The sequence below is a fragment of the Homo sapiens genome, chromosome 1, assembly GCF_000001405.40.
Source record: "Homo sapiens chromosome 1, GRCh38.p14 Primary Assembly".
Taxonomy (NCBI): domain Eukaryota; kingdom Metazoa; phylum Chordata; class Mammalia; order Primates; family Hominidae; genus Homo; species Homo sapiens.
The window spans coordinates 174,958,603-174,972,376 of NC_000001.11; the positions used below are offsets into that span (position 1 = coordinate 174,958,603).

At 36.6% G+C, this 13,774-nt stretch overlaps 1 protein-coding gene across 20 annotated transcripts in view; it reads left to right on the plus strand.

Moving 5' to 3' along the window:
* Window positions 1-13,774, plus strand: part of RABGAP1L (RAB GTPase activating protein 1 like) — an 835,789-nt gene that overhangs the window by 799,083 nt on the left and 22,932 nt on the right. For 19 of the 20 annotated variants that reach the window (NR_158982.1, XM_011510223.3, XM_047436028.1 and 16 more), the window contains one exon: window positions 10,675-10,785. Coding sequence is in view for 19 of the 20 variants with exons in the window: in XM_011510223.3 (XP_011508525.1) it covers window positions 10,675-10,785 (111 nt within the window). In the remaining variant the exon portion in view is untranslated. Of the gene's footprint in view, window positions 1-6,175; window positions 6,384-10,674; window positions 10,786-13,774 lie in introns of those variants that run through there. The other variant, NM_001243764.2, reaches the window with a different exon arrangement.

Consider the following 13,774-nt stretch of genomic DNA (forward strand, 5'->3'; position numbering starts at 1 on the left):
GAGTTATCTTTATGTGGTCAGAGCTGGACATAGGCAGCATAGTCACACAGAACATCTTATCTCTGTTGCTGAATTGAATAGCATGGGATGTGTGCAGAGGAACATGGTGGGAGTATGTAGGTTTTGTAGTCAGACAGACCTGAACTCAAATCTTGCTCATTTTTTAGAGCACAGGATTTGGACTCCAAATTGAGGGTTTTAATCCCCATGCCACCATTCAGCATCTTCGACTAGTTATTGAACCTCTTCCTCATCTATAAAAGATATAGTGTTTCTGATTCCTTGATGGATTGTTACAAGGATGAGGGATGCTGTATGTTAAGGACTCAGCTCATAGTTGTGTTCAATAAATGGCTGTTATTTTATGAAGCCTACTACTACAGATTATGCAATTATTACTAGAATAATGCCACCTTATGTGGGTCTTCCCCTCTAGTCCCTTATTGATTGTTCTTATTTCTCTCAAGTATTGCCAACCAATAATCTCCCCTTGCTTATAGAAGTGGTTCAAGATCTGATTATAAAATCCCACATACTTCTATAGCAGATAACTATTAACAGATAATGTTTGAAGCTAATTTTCACCACCAACATCCCCTCAATAAAACCAGCTTTTAATGTAAATCACATAGCATGCTGCTTTAGAAAGGCTTGAAGGTAGTAATTATAAACTATTATTAAGCATCCAAAATGAAGGTCTCCTTTTGCTAATATCATTCAGATTTTCTTATTACTACAATTATTATGAATAAATTCTGTGAAGAGTGCTTTAAAATAAGAGAGAAATGGAAGACCAAACTTGTACATTTAAAATCAGGCTGGAATTGAACTTGTTATTGTGTCTTAAATCCTTTTTTGTGCCAAAGCAGGTATGTATACATTAATAGTAAGATGTACATTATTTTTAAAGTACTTATAACATGTAAGATTATCAATATGTATAGTTTTTATTGAGAGATCAAAGTAGGATTAAACTTCTTGTTTTGAAAGCAGGCATTACTTTTTAAGTTCAAGTATTGTTGATTCTTATTTACACATATCGGATACCCTCTATTGCTATTTCTTTTAGATTATTGTGATAACTTGTCAGTACATTCATCTAATGTCTCTATACTCTTAATAATGTCTAGGCATTTGTCCTGGTAATACACTTGGTGAATTTATAGTTCTTAGATTATAATTACATCTTCAAGGTGGCAGTCAACAACATAAGTTTCTAACCATCAACATATTTGGTTTGTAAGATGATCAATATGCAGTTTAAGAAGCCATATTATAATTATCTTAATTAAAGTAGCAAAGTTAGAAAATACCTTTTACATCTTCTAAATTTAATCCTATGAAGAATAAGATCTCTGTCCTGGGAATGAGCACTTTGTAATTCATAGATCTTGGACTGGGAACCCAGTTAATGTAAACTCTTAAAAGACTGACTTGGGAAGATCTTTGAGGGCATTGAGTGAGAACTTGCACCAGTTCAGTAACAACCCCTCCTCAACATTAGAATCTATATTGCTTAAAAAGTCATTTCCACACCCTAGCTTGCCATATGACAAGAGAGTTAGAAGGTTGTGGGAAATTTATTTTTTAAAGCCCACATATGTTATATAATAAGATATTTTAAGAGGTATTTCAGTTCAGTGCTATTTCTTTTGGACATGGTGGCATATGTAAAAGGGCTATCACAGGGAACCTAGAGGTGGGAATACAGATCCAGCAATGTGAGGTAGCTCTCAACAGTCATACTTCTTGCTACATCTATGTAAACATGTGTTTTATGTCTATTTTTATGACATATGCAGATATCTTCATGGTTAGGTTATATCGCTGTAGTCACCTTTATTCAACACTTAAATCTCAACCACAAAGAGATGAAATAATGTTAGTATAAATTTAAATTTTAAAACTCGACATATCTTGAAAATCTTCTGGAATTAGGAAGTAGTGATGATTGCACAACTTTGTGAATATACTAAAATCATTACATTGCACATTTTAAAAACATGAATTTTATGGTATGTGAATTACATCTCCAAAGAAAAAAAAAAGCAGAATATTCCAGGAGGATTGTCATTTAGCCTACCCTTTTCCTTTCATGAACCCTAAATCACACCAGAGGTACCTGTTTAGAAGCAGGAGGGAGAGCTTCCTGTTGAAATTAGAGCTAATTAGTGACTATTGATCTTATATGTGTCCATATTTGCAGAATAAAAGCCAACACAGTGGGTGGTACATTAATTTTTAGTGATGCCCATTAATTTCCAGGTAGAACATATGTTGTACATTATATGTATACACACATATAAACATATATAAGTAGGTAATACACACACATATATGCACTGCCTGTGCTACCTGGTCTTGGCATCAGTTTATATTTTAAACTCAGTGAACACCATAATGACTGCTTTATAGCCTTTACTCTTTCTGTTTTTCTTCATGACTAGATTCCAAGAGACAGAAAGGAAACTTTTTTGAAAGAACAATGTAGAATGTTTATTTCAAATCTCTTTTATCCTCTTTCTTAACTTGCACCTGACCAGGTTTGTGTAAAATTCTTTGTCTACTCTAACATTTTGGTTTGTAAATTTAGTGATTGATTTCTAATGAAGTGAAATTAGGATAAAGATTTGACTGTAGAATAAGCATGTTTTCATTTTTATACAGGTTCCCAGAAGACACACATTTATCAATATGTGTAGCTGTTTTAGTATATTTTAGAAACTAGTAACTAAGCCCTTAATAAGCAAAGTTACCAATTTCAGAAATTAAAATACTTTCTATCTTAAAGAGATGAATTGTTTCTGTTGTGAGGAAAGTTTTCTAGTGATGGTATCAGTTGCTGGTACTTTTTGGAGATCTGTAGCCTTCATCTACCTTTGGAGAACGATATGCTTTTCTGGTTTAATTAAATAACTATTTGCACAAATGTGAGTTAAGGCTTAAAAACACAGCTAATTGGCCGGGCATGGTGGCTCTTGCCTGTAATCCCAGCACTTTGGGAGGCCGAGGTGGGTGGATCACTTGAGGTCAGGAGTTCCAGACCAGCCTGGCCAACATGGTGAAATGCTGCTTCTACTAAAAAATATAAAAATTAGCTGGGTGTGCTGGCAAGCACCTGTAGTCCCAGCTACTCGAGAGGCTGAGGCATGAGAATCGCTTGAGCCTGGGAGGGGGAGGTTGCAGTGAGCCAAGATCATGCCACTGCACTCCAGCGTGGGCAATAGAGCCAGACTCTGTCTCAAAAAAAAAAAAAAAAAAAAAAAAGAAACGACCAGGTGCAGCAGCTCACGCCTGTAATCCCAGCACTTTGGGAGGCAGAGGTGGGCAGATCACAAGGTCAGGAGAATCGAGACCATCCTGGCTAACATGGTGAAACCCCATCTCTACTAAAAAATAAATAAATAAAAATATAAAAAAAAATTAGCCAGGCGTGGTGGTGGGCACCTGTAGTCCCAGCTACTTGGGAGGCTGAGGCAGGAGAATGGTGTGAACCCAAGAGGCGGAGTTTACAGTGAGCCAGGATCACGCCACTGCGCTCCAGCCTGGGCGACAGAGTGAGACTCCGTCTCAAAAAATAAAAATAAAAATACACCCCCCCCCCACACACACACACAGCTAGTTAATTAAATTCAGTGAATCTCCCAAAGCATAATAAAGGTTACCTGTTCTAGATGGGAAAATACTAAAAGAATCTGGAATGCTTAAACTCTCTTGGGTTTGGGACACAGACATTATTATAAATACATAATTTCTAATTGAAGTGTCTTATCCATGTTCAGTACAATTAAATTTAGAATGTTTAACCTCATTCTTGAGATTAAACAAAGTAATTTTTAAAATCAAAATGTAATTTAAACAAAGAAAATGATTCCTCTATGTTTCCACAGAGTTTTTTCTTGCACATACTGGTTTTTGTAGAGCAATTGCTCCTACATGTAATTTCAAATTAAGCTATTATGCATAGTAAAAATAATACAAATGAAATATTTGAAATAAAGCTTAATTGTACTTTTTTGCCATCCTTAAATATCTAATGCAATAGTTTAGAGTAATTTTCACATTTCTTTTAAACTTGACAAATAAAAGTTTAAATTAGTATACATTTCTTACCTATAAAAAAGAGGGAGTAGACTTTTTAAAAAAACTGTTGGACCCTTTCTTACTCAGGGGAGTCAAGATAAGTGAATCCATCTTTGAAAAATGTTTTTCTGGCTGGGTGTGGTGGCTCACACCTGTAATCCCAGCACTTTGGGAGGCCAAGGCAGGTGGATCACTTGAGGTCAGGAGTTCAAGACCAACCTGGCCAACATGGTAAAACCCTGTCTCTACTAAAAATACAAAAATTAGCTGGGTGTGGTGGCACATAACCTGTAGTCCCAGCTACTCAGTAGGCTGAGGCAGGAGAACCTCTTGAACCTGGGAGGCAGAGGTTGCAGTGGGCAGAGATCGTGCCACTGGACTCCTGCCTGGGTGACAGAGCAAGACTCCGTCTCAAAAAAAAAAAAAATTTTTTTTCTGCCATAGCAAATAAACTTACATTTTATTATTTTTTCATATCCCAAAAACTGTGTTGGCTTTTGGAAATAGTATGTTATGAAATAATGTGCTTTTAAGGAATAGTAATAGACACAAGGATGGTTTATATATGCCTATGATAACTTAATGATAAACTTCAGAAGTCTTCCACTTTCTCTTTGAGCTTGGATAATCCAGAGAGTTCATTGTTATAGGATGGTGAAGATGCAAAACTAAATCCTTTTGGCTTCTCAAGCAATATAGCTAATAAGGAGTGGGCGATTTCTAACAATGCTGGTCTGCTAGAGTCCCTTATACTTAACCCTTGGGGGAAGAATATGCTTTAGGAACACTAAGAATTTCTAGTATGTTTACTGGTGATCTTCAGAGTTTTCAAGAAACTTTCATTAATTTTTAGAAAGTTTTCTTTTCTGTTTAAGTATTACTGAGAAAATTACCTGACACTAATATGTTTCTATATCATCTAGAATGCATCTGCTTTTTGAAAATTTGATTTGTGTACTAGAGTAGAGCAAGGATCTGCAGACTGTGGTTTATAGGCCAAATCTGGCTCACTGCCAGTTTTTGTAAACCAAGTTTTATTGGAACACAACCACACCTGTTTATTTATTTATAGTGTATGGCTGGTTTTGTATGACATTTGTAGAGTTGAGAAATTTCAACATAGACCATGCGACCTGCAAAGCCTAATATAGTTACTTTCTGGCAATTTACACTAGAAGTTTGCTGACCCCTGTGCAAGAGTATAACCTAAGATAGTTTTTTAAGCGCTGAAAGAAATGCAGTCTGTTTGGCCAGCTGTCATTTATCACTGACAAGATTTTGTTTTTAGTTTGACATTTAAAAATTTGAAATTTTCCACTACAAAGATAAAATTGGATGTGATGAGTAAAGGAGGGAAGCACAAAACCTTCAAATATCCATATTTTCTTTCTCAGATCTTCATTATGGACAACATAGATATTTAAACATTTTATCTGTAGGCATTTGAAAACTTGAATATGATAGCTGTCAACTCTTTTAAAAGAGGTATCCAAAAGAAAATATGTGAGAGTTGAGTGTGTTGTTGCTAATAAATTTGCACTGAGTCTTTTAGGAAAACATTTTCTCCTGACCCTTAAAAGTCTTTAAAAGCATGTGCCAAGAATTCATCATAGCAGCAGACAACACCCAAAATATTGAGCTAGGGTTTATAAAGCCGCCTCCCTCCTCGTCATTTTTTCCTTTAAAGCTTAGTTTCTTTACTTTTAATTAACAGTTCACATTTCTCTGGTTTCTCATCTTGAAATAAATGACGTTCACAATCCCTTGAACCGCTTCACCCAGACTTCAGCCCCCAGGTACACATGAGATCCAGGATCCATTTTTCTTTTGCATTGCCCTGCCCAGCAATTTCATTCTTTTGTCTGAAGATGAACTATTTTGCAAGATTTCTGACCTTGTCATATAAGGAAGTTCCTTCCACCCAGCTTTAACAACACAGTATCAACACCTCACACCGTAGTTCCTTAATAGTCCCACATACAGCATTTTAGTCATTCATGCAAACTGTAAACAGCAATGTGGAGAGGGAGGAGTTTGAAGATATGAGTCTTCCTGAGTTGAGACTTGCCCACTGGCTACCTCAAGTATCTTTGTTCCATTGAATGTTTGCGGTCACAGAGAGAACTTAGAGTTATATGACACTCAAAGGAAAAGCAAAAGAGCATTAAGAAGTGTCTGTTTTTGTTATTGCCATTTCATAAATATTTTAGTAGGTGTTCAATTTCATTGGATATTCTTTTTTTTTAATTGTCTTTGTACCTATGATTGAAAACAGTAGTTGGTCTATGACTTTTGAGGAGGTAAGTTTTTTTTTTAATCTATGTATGTCTGTAACATCAGTGTCTGTCTCTTTGAAAAATGCAGTATCCTCCTCCCAAAAGTTACTAACCAAACTTTCCCAGCTGTACATCTCCTATCCATAAGGGGTGAAACTATGAGGACAGTTGTTATCTGCTTTTTGTTCAAACGGTGTCAGTTGTGTGAGATGGGGAGTATATGTTTCAGACAGTGTGATGTGAGTTTTAAGAGTTATGTAAGCAGTGTCTCCTGTAATCTTTTCTGAAAGGCAAGAGGGAGCCAGTTTGCCTGTTTTGTTTACAGGCTTTGAGCATTTAGCACATCTGCTTGTGCAAACTTACAGCATGTGAATTTCTCTGGGCTGACTGAGGTTATTGGGGCTGACTTTAAGTCTGTCTTCCATGGGCAACCCTTGTCAACATTTCAAAATGAACCAAGCAGGGTTACTGCCTTTTCCAAGACCATCAAAACCAAACTCTCTTCTCCATTCTAGTATACAGGCAAACTTTTTCTAGAATTGGTCAGTATTGAAAACAGTTTTGGCTCCTTGAGAAGAACTGTAAAAGACAGCCACGTTAATATAAGCTCTGTTTAGCCCTCAGTAGGTAAGTGTGGGCAAGTTCTTTGTAGAAAATCTCCATCTCAGTAGCAGGGTCTCACTGTAGTGCTCAGTAGCACTCACCCTGGGTTCATACTTTGGAGGATGATACTGCATTTTTGGCCCCGTAGCTTGCTTTCCCACTTGTCTGTGAGTGCAGAGCAGGAGTCTGACACTTCCCACTGTGCTGCTTGCTTTGCAGACACTAAATTGAAGCTTCTTGCTAAAGCAAAAGCCAGTAGGCGTGCCCTCTAGGCTATTTTGCTTTGCAGGGACTCTGAGACACTCAGTTTCTCCCAAATCTTTTCCCACCCTTGCCCTTGCCCCTTTAGCTGTGTGTCTGTAAGGAAGGGTTTCAGTTGCAACAGTCATTGTAATGAGAAGTTACTAGTCAGAATTTCAGCTGAACTCACACCTCTTTCTTATATAACAGATAATCCATCAGACATTTATCTCTAATCAACAGTGAAGTAGCTACCTGGTATGATTTCTAAATACTTGAACAAAGTACTTTTCCATGAACATCCTATGACTTTACTTGGAGGTTACTTTAACTCAATTCTAAGCATGTAATTGTAACCTGAAAAACTGGTAGTGGCAACATTTTCACTTGTGCCAAATGAATGTAATGTACATAATAGTCGAGGGAGCTTTTTGTACTTTGGGGTTATACAAGTACAATTTCAATAGCAATAGGATACTTAACTCAGGAATACCTATTGAAGTAGTCTTATCTTAGTTTCTTGAAGATATTTATCAAGAAATGAGAAAAATCTCTTCCCTGGCTAAGCAGCCTGCATTGTGAAATATGTCATGTTGAAATTGTGCTGGTATTGTTACTCTTTCCTGGCTGGGAGGAAATTTATTGAAAAAGCTTCTCAAATCTTTTTTTTTAATCTAAGTTTCCTATATGTTTTTTTTCCATGAAAAGGAGTAATAGATATATCAGAAATAAAGGCTAACTCTCCAGCCCCTGCTAGAAATTGTGTTGCTTAGGCAAAGATTCAAAGATTTCATTGTAGAAGCTCTGGCTTTTTAGAAATTTGTTTTTTAGTCTCCACATTTATTATGCTTCTGTGGGAGGGTGTAACTTCTGTAGATTGAGGGGAACAGACAGAATCTGATGAGTACAAGTTGCCTCTACAAGAGCATTCACAGTCTTCTCAGGAACATCTAGGGAAAGAGTTCCTCACAAGGCACCACTTCTGAGGGGTTACATTATATCTTGGTCAAAAAGGAGGATCCAATATGGTTTTGTGTAGAATATGACCTTCTAACAGAAGTGGACTTAAATTTTTTTTTCTCATTTTGGCATCTTATCCCTTCCAATGGAATTAAAATTCTGAATTCCTTTTTTTCTTAATAAAACTATTTTTTAAATCCTATTACAAATATATATTCATTGTAGAAAACTTGAAAACATTTTTAAAAGAACAAGGACAACAATAAAGAAAATTCACTACCTACAGTTAATATTGGTTGTTTATATTGTTACAATGAGATTCTCCAATTATTTATTGGGGTTTTTTTCCCCCCTACAAGGAAGGCAGCGTAAGCATTTCCTGTTATTATATTTTCTTTCTTTCTTTTTTTTTTTTTTGACACAGGTTCTCACTCTGTCACCCAGGCTAGAGTGCAGTGGCATGATCATAGTTCACTGCAGCCTTGACTTCCTGGGTTCAAGTGATTCTCCAACCTCAGCCTCCCCAGTAGCTGGGATCATGTGTGCACACCACACCACCCAGCTAATTTTTTTTTTTTTTTTTTTTTGAGATGGAGTCTCACTAACTCTGTCACCTAGGCTGAAGTGCAGTGGTGCAATTCTGGCTCACTGCAAGCTCTGCCTTTCAGGTTCAAGCAATTCTCCTGCCTCAGCCTCCCGAGTAGCTGAGATTACAGGTGTGTATCACCACACCCATCTAATTTTTGTGTTTTGTTTTAGTGGAGATGAGGTTTCACCATGTTGGCCAGGCTGGTCTTGAACTGACCTCAAGTGGTCCACCCACCTCAGCCACCCAAAGTGCTGGGATTACAGACATGAGCCACTGTGCCCAGCTGTACCCAGCTAATTTTTAAAAATTTTTTTGTAGAGATGGGGTATTGCCATGTTGCTGAGGCTGGTCTTGAATTCCTGGGCTCAAGCAATCCTCCGGTCTCAGGCTCCCAAAGTATTGAGATTACAGTCATGAGCCACTGCACCCAGCCTTCTCCAGTATTTTAACACTGAGTAGAATTCTATTGTGAATTTATTTAAAGTATTAAAGTGATTTGGGATTGTTTTTATCTTTTTTAGTCGATATGTTTTTCAATAATGTTTTAACATTCTCCAACTATTCTTATTTTTTTCCAAAAAAAAAAAAAAAGACAGAAATGGGCCCTGGTGGCTGGTATAATCAAGGTGCGGTTTTGTCCTTTAACTTCTCTGACAGCCTTCCCTGTTTATGGATCCTCTGCCTCTGTGAAAGCCTCAGACTTTGCCCTTACCATGTGTTTCTTAGCCCTTGTTTTAAAAAACAGGAAAAAGAAAGAAATTGTCTTCTCTTTCAATATAACAAACACCAGGTTGTTATATAGAAGATACAATTAACTTCACATTACCTGGTATGCTATGATAAACTATCTTCCAAAACATATATTTGTCTTCTAGTTTTTTGTCACTGCTTTGTCTGAGTTTTTGCCACCTTTGCAGAAAACACTGTTAGACGTGTAAATCTGAAAAACAGGAAGGTCTCATGACATTAGTCTTTCCTGTCAGCTCTCTTTTGAATCTCCTATAACTGTTAACAGTAGCAAAGAAAGCAATTTTGATACTTTGGAATGGAAGACATGAAATAGCTATTCTGAAAATAGTTGTGAACATACCAAGTTCATAGTGTTTAGTTAAGGAAAGGCCTTGCTTCATAAGAATTAGTGACTTGGTTTTTTTTTTTTCTTTCTTTTTGTTTGTTTGTTTGTTTCGTTTTTTTGTTTGTTTTTTTATCATGTAACTTTGTTTCAGATTTTTCAAGGTTGGGAGCAGAAATCCTCAGTAATTTATTTTACCCAGAATGTTTTAATCTGAAATTTTTTAAAAAACAAAAAAACTAGATATCTTATGACTGTTGCTCTCACACAAAAATAGGTGTTCAGAAAAGTAAATATATTCTTACTCAAAGAATAAAAATGTCAGCTGTTAGCAAAGTCATGAACCCATGTGTCATGATTCTTGATTTAGAGCTCTTAAATATACTCAATATGAACCCTGTCTTAGAAAAACAATTTGAAGAAATGTCTGGTGGTTTTCCCCTGTTTCATTCCTACTGTGTCTTGTGGTTTCTCTTGAGGTCAAGGGTGAGACTACCGTGCATGTTTCAAATAAAGAATTGTTTGTGTCTGTGTTCTAGATCTATGTAAAAACCTCACAGGATTGGGGGGGATATGCTCAGAAAGTTTGTTCTTTGTGGCACATTTTTTATAATGAAGTTCCATCTTGAGAGTTTAAGGGACCAGTTTCACCGGGTAGAGAACCGCATCTGCATTGCTAGCTAAACTCACTGTTGTTTCCCAGACAGCAATCCTGCCTTCCTGTGCCACTTGCGCCTTCTCCTTTTTACACCTTTGAAAGTTCACTTTGTTGCTTGTTTTTCCTCACCAGTTCTGTTCGTTTCTGTATGTCCAGACACTAATGCCCACCTCTGGCTATTGTTCTTCTGCAGAGGGAGAACCGAAGATTACAGGAGGCCAGCATGAGGTTGGAACAAGAGAATGATGACCTTGCCCATGAACTAGTAACAAGCAAAATTGCTCTACGGAATGACTTGGATCAGGTAATCCTTAGAAATGAGACTGTGATGACTTCCTCAGGGCAAAGACCGATTTGCCCTCATCACCGCCCCCACAAACTTGCTTTGTTCTTGACTTTGTTCTTGAGGAATGGACAAGTGGCAGGGACAGTCTGTTAATTGGAGACCATGGAAAACATAAGCCTTTGAGAAAGGTTTGGGTCATTTCTAAATAGCATGTGTGACATACTTTCTTTATACCTCTAAACTCTGTTATGTCTTTGTTGATACCTTTCCTGAACCAATGGCTGTCAGCATAATTATCTGAGAACATCAGTCACCAAGAATATGCCTGTACTAATGCCACTCTAACAGTAGATGCCTTACTTTTTGTTCCAGTAAGAATTATTCTCCATAATAAATGTGAACTTTTACATGAAGTACCTACATTAAGAGTTGGATTGTTAGATTGATAGGCATCTGAGTGGCTGAGAGCCAGACTGCCTGATTGTGAATGCTGGCACCACCACTGTGAACCATATGACCCTGGACAGTTCTTAAGCTGTCTATAGGTATAAAAAGGTGTCTATCTCATAGAGATGATATAACAATTAAATAAGTAAAACACTTCGATAGTATGTGTTCATTAAATGTTAGATGTAGCTGAGAGAGCTGGCACTAAAGGGAATTCAAAAACAAAAACAAAAACTGTGTTGTTTGGGACACAGGATATGGAAGGTAGAAAAAGCTGCCCAGAGAATGGTTTTTTAAAAAGTTGTGGCCCTGTTAACCACAAACCTCATTCAGCCCACCCATTTGGAAGCTGTGAGAAGTGGTATGAGAAATATGTGACTAGGAGAGTCAGAACCAAAGAAGGTAGCCGGATCTCCATTCAATCAGGGTCAATTCAGCCTTACCTCAGTGGTCATATTTTTGTATTCATGAGACTGTTGAGATAAGTCAGTGCTATAATGAAAGTCTTGGTTCTATGTTAACTTTCCAAATGGTCTTGATTCACACTTGATTCTGCCATTTTGAATCTTTTATCCATTAATAATTTTCTTATGATGGCTGACTAAATGAAACAATTTTTAAACAGTTGGATTCAGTGGGGATGCAGTGAAATGAGCTAAGGAGAGTTTCAAAGTTGTTTGGCAAATGTAGTTGGTAATATGTGTTAAGACGTTAAAAGGTTTAAGCAATAATAAAATTAAATTTTACTATGTACCCACTATGTGCCAAGCACTAAATAAAGCAATTTATAAACATCATCTCATTTAATCTCCCTAATGACTCCAGGAAGCAGTTATTATTTTAATCCTCCATTTCATGAATGAGGAAACTATATAGATGAGGAAACTAGAGATCCTCTGACTTGTAAAGCTATCCTAAAAAAAAAAGATCTGTTTAAAAAAAATGTATATACAAGGTTGTTTACTGCAGTGTTACTTATAAGAATGAAAAATAGAAATATTATTTTATCTATGTTCACTAGTAGGGGAGAATGACAGTTTGACTGTAAAATGTCTTTCTGGAATAATTTTTGTTAATGGGAAAATAATGATAAAGTATTTTTTTAAAAAATACTTTTTTTTTTCTGTAAACAGTAAACATTTATAATGTTTGCATCTAAATTTCAAGGGCTACTGGCTGGCATTGGGTCATCCTATAGGGAAGGGGACCATAGTATACCTAGATAGGGAAGAAGCCCACAAGGAAATACATCAAAATGTTACTGCTAGGTATCTCTGGGTGATAAGATTAAATATAATTTTTATATTCATCTTTATAGTTTTTTCCCATTTAGAATTTATAGAAAGACCCTAAATTACTTAACCACCATAGGTTAACTAAAAATGAGCATTGGAACTTTTAAAAATCAGAAAAATAATGAACATTATAATATGCATATTATATATGAATATAATACTAAATAATATATATAACTTTAATAATCAGAAAAAAATTATTATCTTAAAAATCATTTCTTCACCAAGAGAACCCTTTATGTGAGTCAGTCTGGAGTGACTGCCATTATAGGTATTCCTGAAGTAATTGATTATTGAGTACCAGGGTAGCTCATGATGTGAGTGCTAGAACAGCCCCTGAAGAAAAGGTTCCATCAGACCTTCATTCTTCCTCTGCCTTCTCTCTTCCCTCCTTGACTCTCTTTCCCTCTCTTTTAAGAAAAGTAAATATGACCTGGACCCTCCCTTTGGGAGCTTTTTATCTAGATGAAAGAATCTAGATGAAAGAATAAAAACTGCTGTTTCATGCATATTTCCTCCTAACTTCTGATTTTGCAGTTTCCTCCTCATTGGGGTTTATTTGCTTACCAAAAAGCTGTCCCTGCAGTTGAAGTGACCTGCCCCACCAGTCTTCTAGGAAGGGCCCTAGCCTGAGAGTGAAAAGTACTGGCTTTGCAGGCCTTCACCTAGTTTGCCCAGTACTTTCCCATTCCCAGTTCATGAAAATCAGATCTCTTAATTAAAATAGCAAAACACTGGCAAACTTTAAACAAATATAAAAGTAGATTGTATTTAAGACAATATGTAAGCAAACAAACACTAATTAGGAAATTAGGTTCTTTGCAAAAATAAATCATTTCTTACTCTGACCATTTTAGTGCTAATTTCAGGCTTCCTGGGCACCAAAGGCTCTTCAGCTTTTCCCTCTGGCAGAGCCTTCCTCTCTTGAGAACTCGCCCTCTCTCGGATTCCTTAAATAAAGATTTCTCAGTGATTAGAAGTGAAAAAAAGGTGCAACATCTCCATTTCAGTTTCTGTTTGCTATCTGCTTTCAGGCCTTTCCTGTCCTTCCCTATTTGCAAGGAACAAAAGAGAAGAGACATGATTAGTACTGTCCTGCTGAGGACCAGGGGTCTAGGTTCCCTCTCACCATAGCAAGTTCTGTTAGACCAGAAGCTACATGGACTAAGTGGAAAATTATTTTGTTTTATTTTAAGTTGAACAACTGGCCTGGTTAGTTCTTTCAGAAATCATTTATCAGAGATCCTCATTTCTGATATTAGGGC